The 17,654-nt window shown below is 48.4% G+C and overlaps 2 pseudogenes across 1 annotated transcript; one reads left to right on the top strand and one right to left on the bottom strand.

The window, feature by feature from the left end:
- Positions 3,038–4,257, top strand: DNM1P38 (dynamin 1 pseudogene 38; annotated as a pseudogene).
- On the bottom strand, positions 8,906–15,800 carry GOLGA6L17P (golgin A6 family like 17, pseudogene; annotated as a pseudogene). Its single transcript, NR_111962.1, has 9 exons — positions 15,653–15,800; positions 13,867–13,986; positions 13,186–13,245; positions 12,920–13,000; positions 12,168–12,255; positions 10,770–11,785; positions 10,444–10,504; positions 9,304–9,406; positions 8,906–9,093 (listed from the first exon to the last, which is right to left on the bottom strand). The product of NR_111962.1 is annotated as a golgin A6 family like 17, pseudogene (transcript).
- Between the last annotated feature and the right edge of the window lie 1,854 nt (positions 15,801–17,654).

Here is a 17,654-nt window from a genome sequence, read left to right as displayed (position 1 = left end):
TTCGCTCTTGTGGCCCAGGCTGGAGTGCAATGGCAGGATCTTGGCTCACTGCAACCTCCACCTTCCAGGTTCAGGTGATTCTCCTGTCTCAGCCTCCCAAGTAGCTGGGATTACAGGCATGCACCACCACGCCTGGCTAATTTTGTATTATTAGTAGAGAGGGTTTCTCCATGTTGGTCAGGCTGGTCTTGAACTCCCGACCTCAGGTGATCCACCTGCATCAGCCTCCCAAAGTGCTGGGATTATAGGTGTGAGCCACTGCACCAGGCCATATATTCTTTATATATATATATATATATATACACACACACACAACTTTTTATATTCAAGAAAGTCTATTACATTTATTCTTTATTTTAACGATTTATTTTTTTTTAATTATTGTTATACTTTAAGTTCTAGGGTACATGTGCACAACGTGCAGGTTTGTTACATATGTATACATGTGCCATGTTGGTGTGCTCCACCTGTTAACTTATCATTTATATTAGGTCTATCTCCTAATGCTATCCCTCCTGCAACCCCATGACAGGCCCCGGTGTGCGATGTTCCCCATCCTGTGTCCCAAGTGTTCTCATTGTTCAGTTCCCACCTATGAGTGAGAACATGCGGTGTTTGGTTTTCTGTCCTTGTGACAGTTTGCTCAGAATGATGGTTTCTAGCTTCATCCATGTCCATACAAAGGACATGAACTCATCCTTTTTTATGGCTGCATAGTATTCCATGGACACACACAACTTTTTTTCTGCTCCACTTGAAGTTAAGTTGGAGATGTGCCCATTTACTCCCAAATATTTCAGTGTTACTTCCAGAACAAGAACATTATTTTATATAACCACAATACAATGATCAAAATCAGGAAATGTAACTGATGTAATACTATGTAATTCAGTCAGTCCTTGGTCACATTTTGGTCACATTCACAAAATGTGAAAAGTCATGGTTGATTTATTTTGTCTTTCAATTTGGGTTTTAGTAGCCGGGACCACAGGTATGGACCACCATGCCTAGCTAATTTTTAAATTTTTTGTAGACATAATACCTCCTGTGTTACCCAGGCTGGCCGTGCACTCCTGGCCTCAAGTGATCCTCCCCGCTCAGCCTCCCAGAGAGCTAGGATTACACTAGTGTGTGAGCCACCACATTCAGCCATGTACTCTTATATCTGTTAATCTGTTAGCCAACCTTTGGCTACCTCCTCCCCCTTCCTCACCTCTAGTAAACACTATTCTAAGCAAATAGATCTTAAAGGAGACCACCCAGAACCTGGTAGACTCCTATACAGCCATTGTCAACAAGACAGTGTGGGACCTCATGGTTGGTCTCCTGCCCAGGACCATCATGCACCTCATGATCAACAATGTTCATGCACTGCCCCATGGGGGCAGGGGGCGACTGTGGCACTGGGGATGGAGGTGGCCATGCTGGCCTGGGAGAGATGCCGACCAGCCCTATGGGACCAGGTCCAGGGAGGGAGGCATGGTCAAGACCAGAGCTGTCCCATAGAAATATAACATGGGACTGGGCACAGTGGCCCATCCCTGTAATCCCAGCACTTTGGGAGGCCAAGGCAGGAGGATCGCTTGAGCACAGGAGTTTGAGACCAGCCTGGGCAACATAGTGAGACCTGGTCTGTACATAAAAATTTTAAAAATGCTGGACTTGGTGGTGGCACATGCCTGTAGTCCTAGCTACTCAACAGGCTGATGTTGGAGGATCACTTTGAGCCCAGGAGGTTGAGGCTGCAATAAGCAGTGATCTCACCCACTGTACTCCAGCCTGGCGACAGAGTGAGATCCTATCTCCAAAAAATTTTTAAAAACCAAGTAGACAGGTGTCCTGGTGGCATGATAGGTCCTGGGTCCCCTTCCAGATCTGTAACCTTGGACAGGTGACTTTTCCTCTGGACCTCAGTGTCCCCATCTGAGTGAGAAAAGGCGGTGGGGAGGCAGATCTTCGAGTCTTAAGTGGTGTAGAAGCTGCGCCTGAAAAGCCGTACTTGGGGCTCCAAGCCCAGCGCACAGTCCTAGCAGGGCCCGGCAGGGCAGCCAGGGCAGCACAGGCATCAGGTTGCACCCTCCTTGCCTCTTTGCCCACTCTCAGACCAAGGAATTCATCTTCTTGGAGCTGCTATCCAACCTGTACTCGCATGGGGACCAGAACACGCTGATGGAGGAGTCTGCAGAGCAGGTACAGCGGGGCGATGAGATGCTGTGCATGCACCATATGCTGACAGAGGTGCTCAGCAGCATCAGCGACATCAACATGATCACCATCAGCATGCCCATGGGGGCCCGTGGATGACTCTTGGCTGCAGGTGCAGAGCATCCTGGCTGGACGCAGGTACCAGGGCCGGCCCCCACGGTCCCAAAGTCCCCCAGCCTCCATGACTGAGCCTGGGGAGTCTTGGAACGGGCTCCATGCCCAAGCTGGCAGATGTGGGTGCTCTCTGGAGCCATCAGAGAGGGCAGAGAGCTTGTGGTTTATGGTGTGGGGGCTGGGAGCTTGGAGGGGGGTGTGTGTTGGGCTGGATTCTGAGGCAGCCAGAGGCCTGGGAACATCATCCTGGGCACGCCGTACCTGTCGTGCAGTCTGAGTCATGCTGCAGGGCAGGTATCCAGCTCCCAGCCTGGGAGTGCCGAGAGCCAAATCCACTCCAGATTAGGGGTGATAGTCAGGGTCCCACTTCCTCTATCTGTCAGCAATCCAGTGGTGATCTAGGATAAAAGCCTGAGAGTCCTATACACACGGTCATCCCACAACACACTTCACAGGCCAGGCAGGGACACACAGACCCCATCTCTCCCTCCCAGATACCATCACAGCTGCTAGTGTGTGACCGAAGGCAGGGTCCCTGGCCCCCGCTGAAGCACTACTGCCAGCCAGTTGGCTCATGCACCTTGGCCTGTTGCTCCTAGAGGTCACCTATGCTATTCAACCAAGGGGACCACAGTGCCTGCTGGCCCAGCTGAGCTCTGTCCAGTGAGCCTGCCCGCCTCTCCTGCCACAGACTCTCCCTCTTCTGCTTTTCCCTGCAGGAAGGGCCCAGCCTCACCTATGTGACCTGCAGTCCCCCAACAAGCTGAGGCTCCCCTCTTAGACTTATAAGTCTATGGCCAGTGGCATCTGGCTGCCTGCCCTCCCTGCCTCCCCCAGGGTCCTCTCAGAGGGTTCTGGGCTTTCTGATGGCCCAAAGGGGCCTCCAGTGCTCACTCCAACCATCCATCCCTTTTAGCTTCATCATCCTGGTTCAAGCAGTGTTCCTTCCCTATCAGGCCTGGTGGCTGTTGCTTGGGGCTCCCCAAGGCGAGGGGTGGCCCTGGGCCAGTGGGTTGGAAGACAGGGTGACCAGAGAAAAGGGAAGCCTGACGGGGCTGAGCATTGGTCTGAACTGTGGGTGCACTGCCTGGATGCCATGGGAGAGGCGTGTGTGGGGTGGGGAGGGCCGCTGCAGCCCCCAGGCACTACCTGTGAAGCTCCGGCTTCCCCCTCCATCCTCCTCCCCTTTCCCTTCCAGCCCCTTTTCCAGGAACCTTACTACACACCCGCACCTGTGCCCTCCCGTCCCCAGCCCTCCCACAGCTGCTGTGTCACTCCCATGCTCTGCACTTGCCTCACCAGCAATCCGCTTGCTTTTCTCTCTCCTGTTTTCTCTCTGCTTTCTCTCCACTTGCCAGCTGATCGGGTCAGGCAAGTCCATCCCGTCCTGAGAGCCCCAGGCCCCACTTTGACCTCTAAACAGATCCCTCCTCTACTTGGAGACTTCCCTTTCCAAGCCTGCCTGAGCAGGTGTACTATGACTTGACAGTGGCTCTCCAGCCCCAAAGCCAGCCCTCTTCATCTGTGACTTAGTCTGTTGTAGTGGTGAGCTGACACATCCAGGTGTGACCGTTGCTGAAAACTTGTGCCCCCTCTGTGGTATGCCCCTGCCCTGTTCTATAAATAGCTATATATATATATGCAGTTACACATGGCCGACCGCCTCGCCTCTAGCACTAAGAATAAGTCCCTGTGCTGTCCTTTTGGAGTCTTGTGGTCCAGCAAGAGAAAGCTGTCCCCTGACATCGCCCCTCCAAAGTGTGCCACCTCCAGTGAGACTCCCTGTCATGCCCAGCCTGTGGACAGCCAGCCCCCGCCATCCCTCCCACCCTCCACCAAGCATGGGGGTGCTGTGCAGGCAGCCATGTGGCCTGACAGTCTCTACCAGTCCTGCTGTCCCTCGGCTGAGAATCAAACCCATTTCCGGATGACGGAGAATGTGTCCTCTGCTGGCTGTGTTCTCTGTGGAGCTCAGGGGAGGGGAAAGGCCAAGCCATGTTTAGGTGCTGTTGGGAGCAAGTGAAAAGACCACATCCTTTCCAAGGGACACTTTTCCTGGAAAGTCCCTGGAGCTTAGCTGGCTTTTATCCTGTGAAGCCAGCTCCGGCCACTAGGGGTCAGGGTCATGATCTCAGCCTGGAGGGAGACTGAGGGGCAGCCGGCATTCTGGAGGGACAGACAGAACAGGCCACCCAGTGCAGACAGGAGAAGGAGGCAAGGGGACGGAAGGGAAGATGCCTGGGGTGGATGGAAGTCAGTGCCCTTGGGTGCTGGTATCTGACTTCCCGGCCACTGCTAGATCAGGCTTCTGAGCCTGTTGGCTGTCAGGGCCGTACTGTGCTCCATAGGTGCTATGGCAGTCCCCATGAAATCCACCAGGTGTCACCAGGCAGCATACAGGTAACAGGCCTGGAAGGTCCCCAACAGCCCAGCTGGACATGCTCAGACACTCTGGGGCTCCTCATTCAGTGGGACAAACTCCAGGACCCAGTGAAGGAAACGGGAACACACCAGGCTGAGCAGTATGGCTAAATCCATTTATTCCAAAATGAAAAGCAAAATAAACAGGAGTCGCATCACCAAGGGAGCCACGACCCCATCCCCGCCTCCTTCCTATGTCCTATGCTAGCAATAAATACGTTTCCCAGATGCAAATAATTATTAGATCCTCCTCCCTATATGCCAGCTCCAACCTCCACTAGGTACGATACAGGGGCAGCCCCACTCCCCAGAATATACAAAATGTTACGCAGATACAATATATACACTGGGGAAGGGGGGGTCACCCCAGCAGCCCATGCCCTTGCCTGGTCTACTGTTAGCCCCACTGTCCTGCCTCAGCTGCCTCTCTGAATAAGAAGATGGGAGCTCCCCTGAGGGAAAAGTTGCTTTGGCAAGAGTAGAGAGGCCATCAGGCCTACTCCAAACAAACCAACTCCACCAGCCTCTGGCTCTTAAATAACAAGCATCATCGTCCAGAAATTTAAGGACTCAGCCCTGGTCAAGGTGGCAAAGGGTCTGTCTCCCCCCATTAGACAGGGGTCTTGCTACCCTAAAGGTAAAGAGGTGACTGGGAAGGGGTGGTAGGGACATGGTGGGGGCGGAGAGTCCAGACCCACTTCTCCAGGCTTATGCTGGAAGGGGCCTGCTTTTATTTATTTTTATTTATATCCCGTGACTTTTTTTAATCCCATAACTTCTTTTCCATAACTTTTTAAATAACTTTTCATACAATTTTTTCTACTTTTTTTGACACACTTTTCCACATTTTTTATCCCGTAACTCTTTCATCCCATAACTTTGTTTGTTCTTTTAATAAACACACTTACATAGTTACAATTTTGTAACAATAAAAACAGATTATCTCATGCCAAGCATGCCCATTATTTGCATGCTATAGTATTTAATACTGTAGTTTTCAAGACACACGAAATTTTAAGGCAAAAACAGCACTTTGCAACAATTTAATAATTTATTACATTACAGTAACATCACAGCAGTCAACAATGCCACTTTAGGCAAAAGTCAGTATTTCCATTATACATTCTGTTTGTAAGAATTCATAAATAGGTAAAAGTCATTCTAAGAAAACTTGGCAAATAAAGCTTTGGACTGGAATTGGCATTTCTTTCTCTACTTTTCCTTCCCCTGGTTTCTTTCTTTTAAACTGCAGTATTCATATTTAAAATGTTTTAACTTATTTCAAAACAATAAGATAGCAGTTACATTTTTTAATAGTTATATTATTTTAAAATGACAGATACAGTTTTAGAGAAATTATATTATGGATAGGGCTGATTTACATTTTCACATTTTCAAAAAATCATCTTTGGTTTTAGAACTGATTTTTTTCATTTCGAGAAAACCTATCTGGTTTAATCAAATACTTTAAAAATAATTATTATATATTGCCATCTTTAGATAGGTATTTTGATTCTTTACTTCCTACAGAAATTCACATTTATTCAGTTGAACTCATATTTTAAAATTCTGTTTCTGATGAACTCTAACCTTCTAATGTTGCCTTCTAAGCAAATTGAAAGCTGCCTTATACTGAATGAGGAAGAGAACAAATACTTGGCTGAATGAGGTACTGCAAAAGACTGCATGCACTTTGAAGGAAGACTTAAGTTATTGTCACATGATTTCCATTCTTTTTAGCTTTTTCTTAAACATATGACAAAATACCTACATGAAGAGTGGTATTTCAGTTAATATAGTACATTTATTTTTCAGACTGACGTTCAGCTTAAATATGCCCGTATGTGATTTAATCCATAGGTACCTGATGAACACATTATTGTCAGATTGGTTACAGATGCTAAACGCTATCCGAAGGTCATTCCTAGTCATTTATACGTGTCAGGGTAAAAGTGAAGTGATTTGAACTATAAAAATACCTTTGAAATAATTTATCAATGTATTCGGTAAACCCAGTTTCAGAATGATAAAGAAAAACTGTTAGATCAAATAATGTGGCTAATTAACAGTGGTATGACTTCTAGCCTGAGGGTTTAAAATGGACTTAAAGGAACTGTCTTTAAACCGAACTCAAAGAATGCAAAAGCAGCAAGTTCAGAAAATAAAAGGCAAGAACAGGACCTTAAGTCCATTTTAAACCCTTGGGCTGGAAATCCTACCACTGTTAATTAGCCACATTGCTTGGTCTAACAGTTTTTCTTTATCATTCTGAAACTGAGTTTCTCTAATACATTGATAAATTCATACAATTTGGAAGAGTCAGTTGAAGTCACAAGGGCTCAATATTTGCAATCTTTAAGTGAATGCAGGCAATTCTCTTATTCAATCTGTAAAATCGTATTATTGATCTCCTATTAATGTCATATTTATAAAAGTATCATGAGGATGCCCAATGCTAAAAGTGGAGATGGTCTAGTAACTAGAAATGCCCACCCCAGGGAGTGCAGATACATCTCTCCCTACATCCTAATGATATGATGTATTTTGGAACACAGACATTAGAACTTCATGAAGTTTTAGCTGTTGATTGTTCCCCAAGCATCCTCCAGTTATGATATAGGCAACATATGACTGAAATAATTCATTGATCATGCACATTAACATAAATATTACACAAAATATGCCTCTAACTGAAACCAAAAGGTATAAAAACATATTTCACTCTTCGTAAAGAACTTTGTGAGGAAATATAACTCCGTGATTGTATAGACACTTTCCTCATGACACTTTGACATTCACAAACAGTAGATTGCGCTGCAGTTTGTAAACATTTTAAGTTGCATAAACTGCTCCTTGATTTTCAAATGTAGTATAATACTGTCTACTAAAATTCCTTTTTGTTTCAACTAAGTACTCTCACATATATTTGTTTATAATAATGTTTGTTATTATTTTTAAAGTCTTTTCCATTCAAGAAAAAGAATTCCTCTGTCAGATGGTTGAAGACTAGCTATTAGCCAGAGAGGTCTAGATGGTAAAATCCATCTTCTAGCCTCAAATAAGCTCCATGAACACAGAGGAATGCCAGGTGTAACACAGCTTTCCTTCACTCGAATTCATTCTTGACTAGAGCCTGTATATGCCTGTTTCAGGGACATTTAAACTCTTAAAGGATTTCTTCTGATCTTTACTGAATACATTAAGGAGAATGCCAACCAGTGCCCTTTTGTGTACTGGGACATGTAGTCATGTGATTAAAACAGGGAACATGAACTCTGACTTTAAAATGTATTGTAGATATAAATGCTCTCAGCTAGAAAAGGTTTTCCACATCCACAGTCATGATGGGAGCCTTTCATTCCTCAGAAATAATCCCCTTTTAGGTCATCAAAAAAAAGTACAACTGCCACAGCTCATGATGCAATGTCTTCATGAGCCCAGAGCACATGCAAATCCTAAGGGAACTACCATAGTACAGCGCTCATTCTTGGCACCAGAACAAATGAAACATATTCTATCCTGCACACACCTGCCAGAGCAGGCCACTTTCCTCTTCTGGGAGATTTAAAAAGCTCCCCAAAATGTTATTACTCCCATCCCCAATACACAGAAAAAGGGGAAAAGGCTGTTTCCAGTGCTCCACCTTTAAACAACTGTAAATGTCAGTACTCACAGTGGCATATTACAAAGTAATAGACCGCGCACTTGAGGGCAAACCACATATTGAGCTAATGAAGAGCTCACTGTGATTAGGATTCGATCAAACATAACAGCAGAACATAAGGAAATTTTATCTGAATTCCGTAATGAATATACATGCTGTACTAACATTTAAAAAGCATGGCAGCCTATCCCAAACCAGCAAGAACAGTTGTGTGCATACAGTGGGTCTTTGTGTGTTTGAACTCCCACCACATAAGGGCAAACTCGATATGCATGCTAACGTCCTATAATTATCAAATTTAAAAAATGCTAAAGGATGCCAGAGTGAACATGAGAGAAAGACCCACTCTCATTTAACTTTTTACAAATAAATTTAAACTATAAATTAGAAACAAATAAATTTAAACTATAAATTAGAAACACAAATAAATTTAAACTATAAATTAGAAACACAAATAAACACAAGTGGCTCTAACATTCAAATGAAGTAAATGAATTGTGTAGGATATTAACCCCTTAAACGTTTTGTTGTTTTTTTTTAATTCCTTGACCCGCTCTTAGATGATGGTGATGTTTAGCTCCCTGTTCTCGGCAGCCCGAAAAGAATGGCATGCAGCCTCTCCTGCTCCTCCTGCCGCCTCTCCTGTACCAACAGCTTCTCCACCCAAGCCTGGGTGCTCCTGGGGAGTCCTGCATTAGAGGAAGCAGCTGCTGGATCTGCTGTGCAGTGGGGTTGTCATGGGGGAGAACCCTCCCTGTCCTCTCCCGGTGCAGCCTCCATGCTATCAGTGAGGCTCAGCTCACTAAGATCTTCAGAGAGAGGGAGGGGGGTGGGAATCTGGGCACAGTGCGAGCCTCCCCTGCTCCTGCCTGCCCACCCCGCCTGAGGGCTCTACTCACCACCCTGCTTGTCCGCACATCCAAGCTCCTTGTGGGACTGGGGCTCCAGCTACTGGTCTGGCTGCTGCTGCAGACTCGGAGCCTCTTGGCTCTTCAGCTCCACCTGCCGGAAGACCCTGGGCATGAGGACATGTGGTGGCTGGCTTCCAGATTCCTGGCCCATTAATAGGGTAGCGAGGGCACTGTGGGGCTCTGTGGCCTGCCCAGGCCCCTGGCCCCTTGCTCCAGGCCTAAGAGACTGTCTCCCTTGCTTAGAACCCCATGCCTCCTTCCCTAGCATCAAATCTCACGTCCTTTTTCCCAGCATGTAAACTGTAGGCCACAGACTGGTGGAAAAGCAGGCGGAGCCAACCACCATCTGCTAAGTGTGCTACATGCCTAATGTTTCCACGTATTATCTCATTTAATCCTCAGCACCTCTGCAAGGAAAAGGCTAACTTCCTTTTGAAGTTAAAGAAACAGAGACTTAGAGATGCAAAGTAGTTGAATTATGACCAGTGGAACCGAGGCCGGAATCCAGTTTGAATCTAAGGAGTCTTTTTTGTTTTTCTGTTTTGTTTTGTTTTGAGAGAGTGTCACTCTGTGTCCCAGGCTGCAGTGCAGTGGTGCAATCTCAGCTCACTGCAACCTTCACCTCCCGGGCGCAAGTGATTCTCGTGTCTCAGCCTCCTGAGTAGCTGGGATTACAGGCATGCACCACCAGGCCCGGCTAATTATTATTATTTTTTTTAATTTTAGTAGAGATGAGCTTTCACCATGTTGGCCATGTTGGTCTCAAACTCCTGACCTCAAGTGATTGTCCTGCCTCAGCCTCCCAAAGTGCTGGGATTGCAGGCGTGAGCCACCACACCCGACATAAGGAGCCTCTTATACCACTGTCTCTTCCTCTGTGATTGGGGGGCTCCATGCCTCTAGCTGGGATGATGATGTCCAGACCTGGGAGGACCCCAGGGCTACCCACCTCTAAAAGTCAGAGGGCAGGAAGCAAGAAACAGTCATAGGACTGCCCCGGAGGGTGCTGGGGTCACCTGTCCCCAGGCTGCAGCTGCCTGTGGCCTGGCACCTCCCCTCCCCAGAGGCTGGTGCCCGCCTCCCACATCTTCTTGGATGGGTCGGAGGTTACAGTCTCTTTCAGCTCACCCGACTTCTCCAGCTCCTTTACTTGCTGCTCCAACTGCAGTGTGCTCTTGTTCTCGTTGTTCTGGACAGAGAGAAGCAATCAGTGGCCACCCACTAAAACTGGAGACCCCAGAACTTAGTGTCGCCTCCCATGGCACCGGGAAGGGTGGAGGCAGGTTAGAAAAATATCCCCTCTCTCCCACAGCCATCAGAGCGGGGCTCTGGCTCACAGATGCCTTTAGAAGTACCATTTCATGTGAAGGCTACAATGCCCCATTTTACAGGTGGGGAAACAAAGGCCTTGAGGGCTAGGGAAGAGGGCAGCCTCCCCAGGTGGGGCAACGCACCAGCTCCTCGAAGCCGCTGCGTGGCTCGGCCCGCTGCTCGTACAGGGCTTCCCACCCCAGCTCCAGCATCCTCTCCAGCTCCAGCAGCCTCTCCAGCTCCCGCAGCCTCTCCAGCTCCCGCAGAGTCTCCTGCTGCCACAGCCTCTCATCCTGTTACCGAAGCCTCTCCTGCTCCAGGAGCTCCTCCACCTCGTCCAGGAGCTCCTCCACCTCGTCCAGCAGCCTCTCCCTCTCCAGCAGCCTCTCCTGCTCCTCCTGCCGCCTCTCCTGTTCTAACAGCTTCTCCACCTCTTCCAGCAGCCTCTCCCTCTCCAGCAGCCTCTCCTGCTCCTCCTGCCGCCTCTCCTGTTCTAACAGCTTCTCCACCTCTTCCAGCAGCCTCTCCCTCTCCAGCAGCCTCTCCTGCTCCTCCTGCCGCCTCTCCTGTTCTAACAGCTTCTCCACCTCTTCCAGCAGCCTCTCCTGCCCTGGCAGCTTCTCCTGTTCACACAGCCTCTCCTCCTGTTCACGTAGCCTCTCCTCCTGTTCACACAGCCTCTCCTCCTGTTCACGTAGCCTCTCCTCCTGTTCACACAGCCTCTCCTCCTGTTCACGTAGCCTCTCCTCCTGTTCACACAGCCTCTCCTCCTGTTCACACAGCCTCTCCTCCTGTTCACGTAGCCTCTCCTCCTGTTCACATAGCCTCTCCTCCTGTTCACACAGCCTCTCCTCATGTTCACGTAGCCTCTCCTCCTGTTCACACAGCCTCTCCTCCTGTTCACGTAGCCTCTCCTCCTGTTCATGTAGCCTCTCCTCCTGTTCACGTAGCCTCTCCTCCTGTTCACGTAGCCTCTCCTCCTGTTCACGTAGCCTCTCCTCCTGTCTCCTGTTCAGGAGACTCAACATCTGATTGTTTTCCACCTCAGCCTGGAGCTGTCTTCCCACACTCTCTAGCTCCTTCCTTAGGTGGTTGGTCTCATCTTGTAGCTGCTCTACCTTAGATGGCCCTGCTGGGGGCTCTGGGGCCAGGGGTTCAGCTGAGAAAGGAAGCAGACAATAAGGGCCTCTGGATTCTCAAAAAAAAAAAAAAAATCCTCCCTTCGGTGCACAGCTCCTCCTCTCAGGCTTCCCAAACTTGGCCTCACTGCTAATGACTCCTCACACCCGGATGGTAGCCAGTCTTCCAAGTCACTTTCAGATAGAGAGCACTGTGGGTGGCTGACAATGGGCACTCCTCCCTCTTTACTGATGGGGACACTGAGGCTCATGGAGATGACAAGACTTGTCCTCCCCTGGCACAGACCTCTTTCCCTCTGCCTCAAAGCCCTTCCATCCACCCACCTCCCTGGGGCATTCTAAGTCACCCCCACAGCCCTCTAATGCCAGTCCAGCTGCCAGGTCATGGCAGCCCCATCTTACCCGTCTGGTTTTTGAGTTTGAACAAGCTCCTCCCAAGCTTCTGTACCAGATGTATCTCATGCTTCTTCTCCTCCTTAGATGTGCGAACCTGCCCAAAGCAAAGGGGGAAAAGGGCCCTGGAGGGAGGGGCTGGTGAACCTCTAGAGACAGAGTTTGAGAAGGGCCCACCCCCCTTCTGCCAGTTTGTGATTTAGAAACGTGCATTCATTCAACAAACATTTACTGAGCATGTACAGGCCAGGTACAGTTCTTCATAGCAGAGATATAAAACAGGAAAGGACAGACAGGAGCCCTTGGCCCTGAGGTTTCCATTCTAGGGGCCTTTAAATCTCTGACTTTCAGAGCTAACCAAGACCTTTGATACTCTCTACCTCCTCCAGAAACACGAGCATAAAGAGGAGAGATGGCTTGTCCAGACTCAAAAAGCAAATTAGGGACTGAGGCAGGGCAGAAATATGGACCCCTGACAACCAGTCAGGCTAGTGCTTCCCAGAGAGGTGACAACCCCAGGGCATGTGTGGCAAGGACTAGAGCAGGGGTGTCTGGAGAAGAGAGAGTCAGCAAAGAGGGCAGTGCAGAAGACCCATGCTGCATGTTCTGTGCTCTGGGGTCCCTCCAGGTGAGACCTGGGTGCCCAGCTCCCCATTTGCCCTTGGCATCAGGGGCCCCTAGCCCCTTTCTTCAGGGCCCCAAGAGGAAACTGGAGTCCAGGATTGACCAGCTGTAATCAGGGGACCCCACTGGACTCTTACCAGTGAATTGATGTTTTCAGTGAGTTGACTGATTATTGCGGAGCTTGAATCCAGGGCCACTGCTAGTTCTTGGTACTGGCTCTGAGGTGCATGCAGAGAGAAGGAGTTGGAGGAAGATTGTGGGGAGGGGTAGAGAGAATAATCATTAGGGCTGGTGGGGGTGTGTGGGCTGCCTCAGCTGGCAGAGGGGCAACAAGCCCCTGCTGTGGGAGGAGGTTGGAGGGCTGGCCTGCAGGGTCACTGCACCTCGGCCCAGGGCCTCTTACCTCCAGATCCTCCAGGGTAGTAGAGGATGCACGGCCTTCCCCGTAGATACCTGTTGCTGACTGCAAGAGATGAGAGTGCACATGGAGATGTTCTGTCCCCCCTCACTGTCTAAGCCCTCTGACTTCTTTCTTCCCCCATCAACTGGCAAAAGCTTCTTTTCTGCCTATCTTGGACCCTTTTTCCCATAACTCCTTTGTGCCAACTTCTCTCGTGGTTCTTATCTCCCCACCATCCCACCCTGGGGCCCTTTCAGTGACTCCTAAAGGGACAGCCTGATGGCAAGTGGCTCTTCTCATTGGCCTGGCTTCCCCTTGAGACTGGGGATGAGGAAAATCAAACAGCAACGACCATTTCCTCGGTGTCCTGGGTGTTTGCAGCAGGCCATGTACTAAGGATTCACATAAAAGCAACAATAACGAATCTCATTTAAACTTCACAAATGGAAGTCAAAAAATACCACCTCTATTATACAGATGTGAAAAGAGAGGCCCAAAGACCTCAAGCAACTTGCCCTAAATCATATGCTAATCAATCCCTAATCAATTCTTAGCAGATGGAGAGGCAGGATTCAAATCCAGAATTCTTAACCAGTACCCAACAGTCCATCTACAATCTTAACAATTACCCTCTACTGCCCCTTGGGCCCCCTGTCGCCAGGACCCTGGCCCGCCGAGACTCACATCCCCAGGTGAGTGGTAACCACCAGAAGTGGCTGTGTCAGGGCTACTGCCATTGATTTTCTTTTTCCTGTTAGCTCCTGCTGGAATGCCAGGGCTCTTCCTCTGCCAATATGCTTTTAACTGTGGGAAAGAAGAGCGGTAACACTCATGAGAATGATCAGCCCCTACAGCCACATCCTCCTTTACAGTTTTGACAAAATACCCTTATATACCATCTGATGTAATGCCACCAACAACTGTACAAGGTGTTGTCACAATCACTTAGTGACTGAGAGGGATTGATATCATGGATAGAAAAAAAAAAAAGAAAGATCAAAAAAGGCAATACTGGAACTTAAACTCAGTCCTCTGACTCCAAGCTCTGGGGTTTTGCCATGAATCAGCAGCTTCCAGGGACCAAAACCAGGGGCAGAGGTAGAAAAGTAAACATTAAGCAGGCAGGAACTGTAGGCCGTGTGGTTTAGAGTCATACATCCTCACAGGTCTGCTAGCGTGAAGAAGCGTACCAGTACCTCTCACACTTTCATATCAATGTGTCCTCATGGCAGAAGGCAGCTTTTCTATTAAATCTGGGAATTTATCAGAAAGAGGACAACCCAAGCCTCATTTCAGAGCGAAGTCTGGTGTACGCTTGGAAACCTATGTGTCTGTCATCCCTAAGTACATTAATGCATTTTCTCAAGAGAATCAAGGGAAAATGATGCTTCAGAAAGATGTCCCACATTTATCCTGTGGCACTCAAAGTACCCCAGGTTGAGACGATATGAGGAAGATTCAAGCTGTCAAGTTCAGTTTCCCAAGATCTATTCCACAGAAGATGAGCAAATCTCACTTCAGAGGCCACTGACTGAAGGGCAGTCTGGTCCCAGAACCGTGGAGAACTCAGAAAAAAATGTTAAAGTCTCTCTGGAAAGTAGAAGCCTGGGAAAAAACCAAACCAAACCCATTCTCCCATTGCCACCCAGAGATACTGTGAACATTTTGAGCTCACAGGGGAAGTGTAGGATTTTTCCCACTGTCAATGTCTATGTTGAGGGAGTAAGGCAGCCTGAAACCTCTTGCTCCTAGGTCCCATAGTCTCCACTCCCCTTCCAGCTGGAAATTTGTGCTGCAACCAGAGGAACCAGAAATGGGGTGAGAAAACTTAGGGGACTGGGTTGTAAGATCAAAGGCCGGTCTTGCAGCAGTAATGACAGTTCCTAGGGGCACTGTGACATCATTGCATTCCACTCCTCCCAGGGGAGGGGACCACATCAGCGCGATGTCCGAGTCGCTGCTCCACGATGGGGGAGGGAAACACACGGTTTCGACCCAGGTCCTCAGAGACGCCAGCCCAAGAAGCCTAGGGAGGTCGAGCTTGGGGCAGCAGGAGGGGAGGGCAGAGTCTGCAGTAGGGAGCCCCGGGAGTCACCAGCCCAAAGCCACCCAGGGATGACTGGTGAGGGCAGGGCCTGGGGCTGGGGGACCCAGGTCCTGGGAGACGCAAGCCCAAAGAGCCCAGGGAGGTTGGGCTTGGGGTGGCAGGAGGTGAGGGCTGATTATGGAGCAGGGAGCCCCAGGAGTCACCTGCCCAAAGTCACCCTGGGGTGATTGGCAAGGGCAGGGACTGGGCTGCTTGCTGAAGGGGTGGGGCTGACTGACTAGGCTTTGGTTGGGGGAGCCCAGAGGGGCTGGGGTTGGGGGGCCCCATCTGGTATGCCTCAGGAGTGGTATGGACTCTGGCACCGGTCTTGTCATCGGAGGGGATCTGTGGCTGGGTTGGGGGCCATGACCTGGTGTGTTTTACCTTTTTCTTGGCTGCGGCCAATTTCCCCTGTTGTGTTTTTTCTGACATCGCGGGGTGGGGAGGGAGGCGGGGTTGGGGCCACATCAGCGAAATACCAGTGAGCACACTGCTCAATGCCTCCAGTCACCTACCAGGCAGCTGTGCAACTGAGCCACAGGTGGCGTAACCAGGGCACCAATGGAACGCAGAATAGGGGCGTGGCCTTAATGCTCCAAGCCCATTGGTCAGTGAGAAAGATGAAAGGGAAAGGAGGCGTGGCCAGGCAGCAGCATGTCCAGAGGGACCTGTGGCATCATAAGGAAAGCTGCCCATGCAACCGCTGTCCCCGCCCACTCAGAGAAAGGGGAGGGGCCGCCCACTCTGGGAGAGGGGAAGGGCTGGGTTTTGCTTTAAAACTTTTAAAACTGTAAAAAATAAACTTTAAAAAATATATGTGTATATACTTTATATATATGTGTGTCTGTGTGTGTGTATCTATGTGTTCCTCCAGAGCTGTCTTCATTATGCAGCTTCTGTGCAAAGTCTGTGATTTTGGCCTATATTTTTCATCTTCAAATGGAGTACAAGAATTACCAGTATTACCTTAACTGAGATATAGATCCTATAAAAATGGAAAATCCATAGCATGCTTGATGATTAATGAAGCCGACTATAGTATCCAACATTCCAATAAGACAAAATAATCACAACAATTTCTCTTTTTTGGAAAAATGTTTGTCTTATTCTCCTACATTATTGTTAAGATTTCTTTTAAAAACAAGAAACATGTCTAATATCTTTAAAAACACAAAGCTTTTGGGCCGGGTGCGGTGGCTCACGCCTGTAATGCCATCACTTTGGGAGGCCGAGGTGGGTGGATTGCCTGAGGTCAGGAGTTCGAGACCAGCCTGGCCAACATGAAGAAACCCTGTCTCTACTAAAAATACAAAAACTAGCCAGGCGTGGTTGCGGGTGCCTGTAATCCCAGCTATTTGGGAGGCTGAGGCAGGAGAATCACTGGAACCCAGGAGATGGAGGTTGCAGTGAGCCAAGCTCACGCCACTGCACTCCAGCCTGGGCGACAGAGCAAGACTCCATCTCAAAAGAAATAAAATAAAATACAAAATAAGTAAGAACACAAAGCTTTCAATTTAATAACCACTTAAAGCTCTTTACTGGTTTAAGAGAAATACAAGGCCCATTTTTCTAGAATCACCTGGCCTCTCTAAGCCTTGCAAATGAAGCTGAATTTCTCACTTGATACTTGGCTATCACTTGCAGTCATGAAAACCAAGAATTTGTTATGTCACTGTGTATTGCTTGTTACCTGAAATCCACACTAGGCTGGGATCAAGGGTTGAATCTTTCATGATTTTCTCCATAACCTGTGTGCTTCTTATCCCACACCAAACTAAGCTTTTTTTCTAGAGCTCTGCAACTTACAGTTAGTATATGAGAGCAGTTCTCAAAAATGTAGTCTCTGGACTAGCAGCTCCAGCAGCACCTGGGAACTTCTTATAAATACACATCCTCCGGCCCCACCCTGGACCTGATGAATCAGAAACTCTGGAGTAGGGCTCAGCAATCTGTGCTGCAGTAATCCCTCCAGGTGTTCAAGAACCTCTGGCATACAGCAGGTAGAAAAATGTGTTTCCTTCTGTAGGTCCAAAACCAGGGATACTATATGTTTTCTCTATATGAAACAATGACGTGCAATTAAAAGACATAAATCTCCTTCCTGCTCCCACCTTCCAGCCAATGTGTTTTATTTTTATGAGTTAAATAAGAAAACAATCAGAGATTTCGTCTAAATCGCATATTTACAGGTATCAGTTCTCATCCAGCCTGATCTTATCCAATATCATTTATATTCTCTTACATGTGAAGTTTTAGAGAAGGATCTTCACAATGTAAGACTCAGGCACACTAGCAGTTCTGTAATAAAACACCAAGTAGATCAGAATGTCCAAACTTACTGGAGAAGAAAAGTGGAATCATTGGCTATATTTTCAAATTGCAATAA

The sequence above is a fragment of the Homo sapiens genome, chromosome 15 (genome assembly GCF_000001405.40).
Source record: "Homo sapiens chromosome 15, GRCh38.p14 Primary Assembly".
NCBI lineage: Eukaryota > Metazoa > Chordata > Mammalia > Primates > Hominidae > Homo > Homo sapiens.
This window is presented reverse-complemented; position numbering and strand designations above follow the sequence as displayed.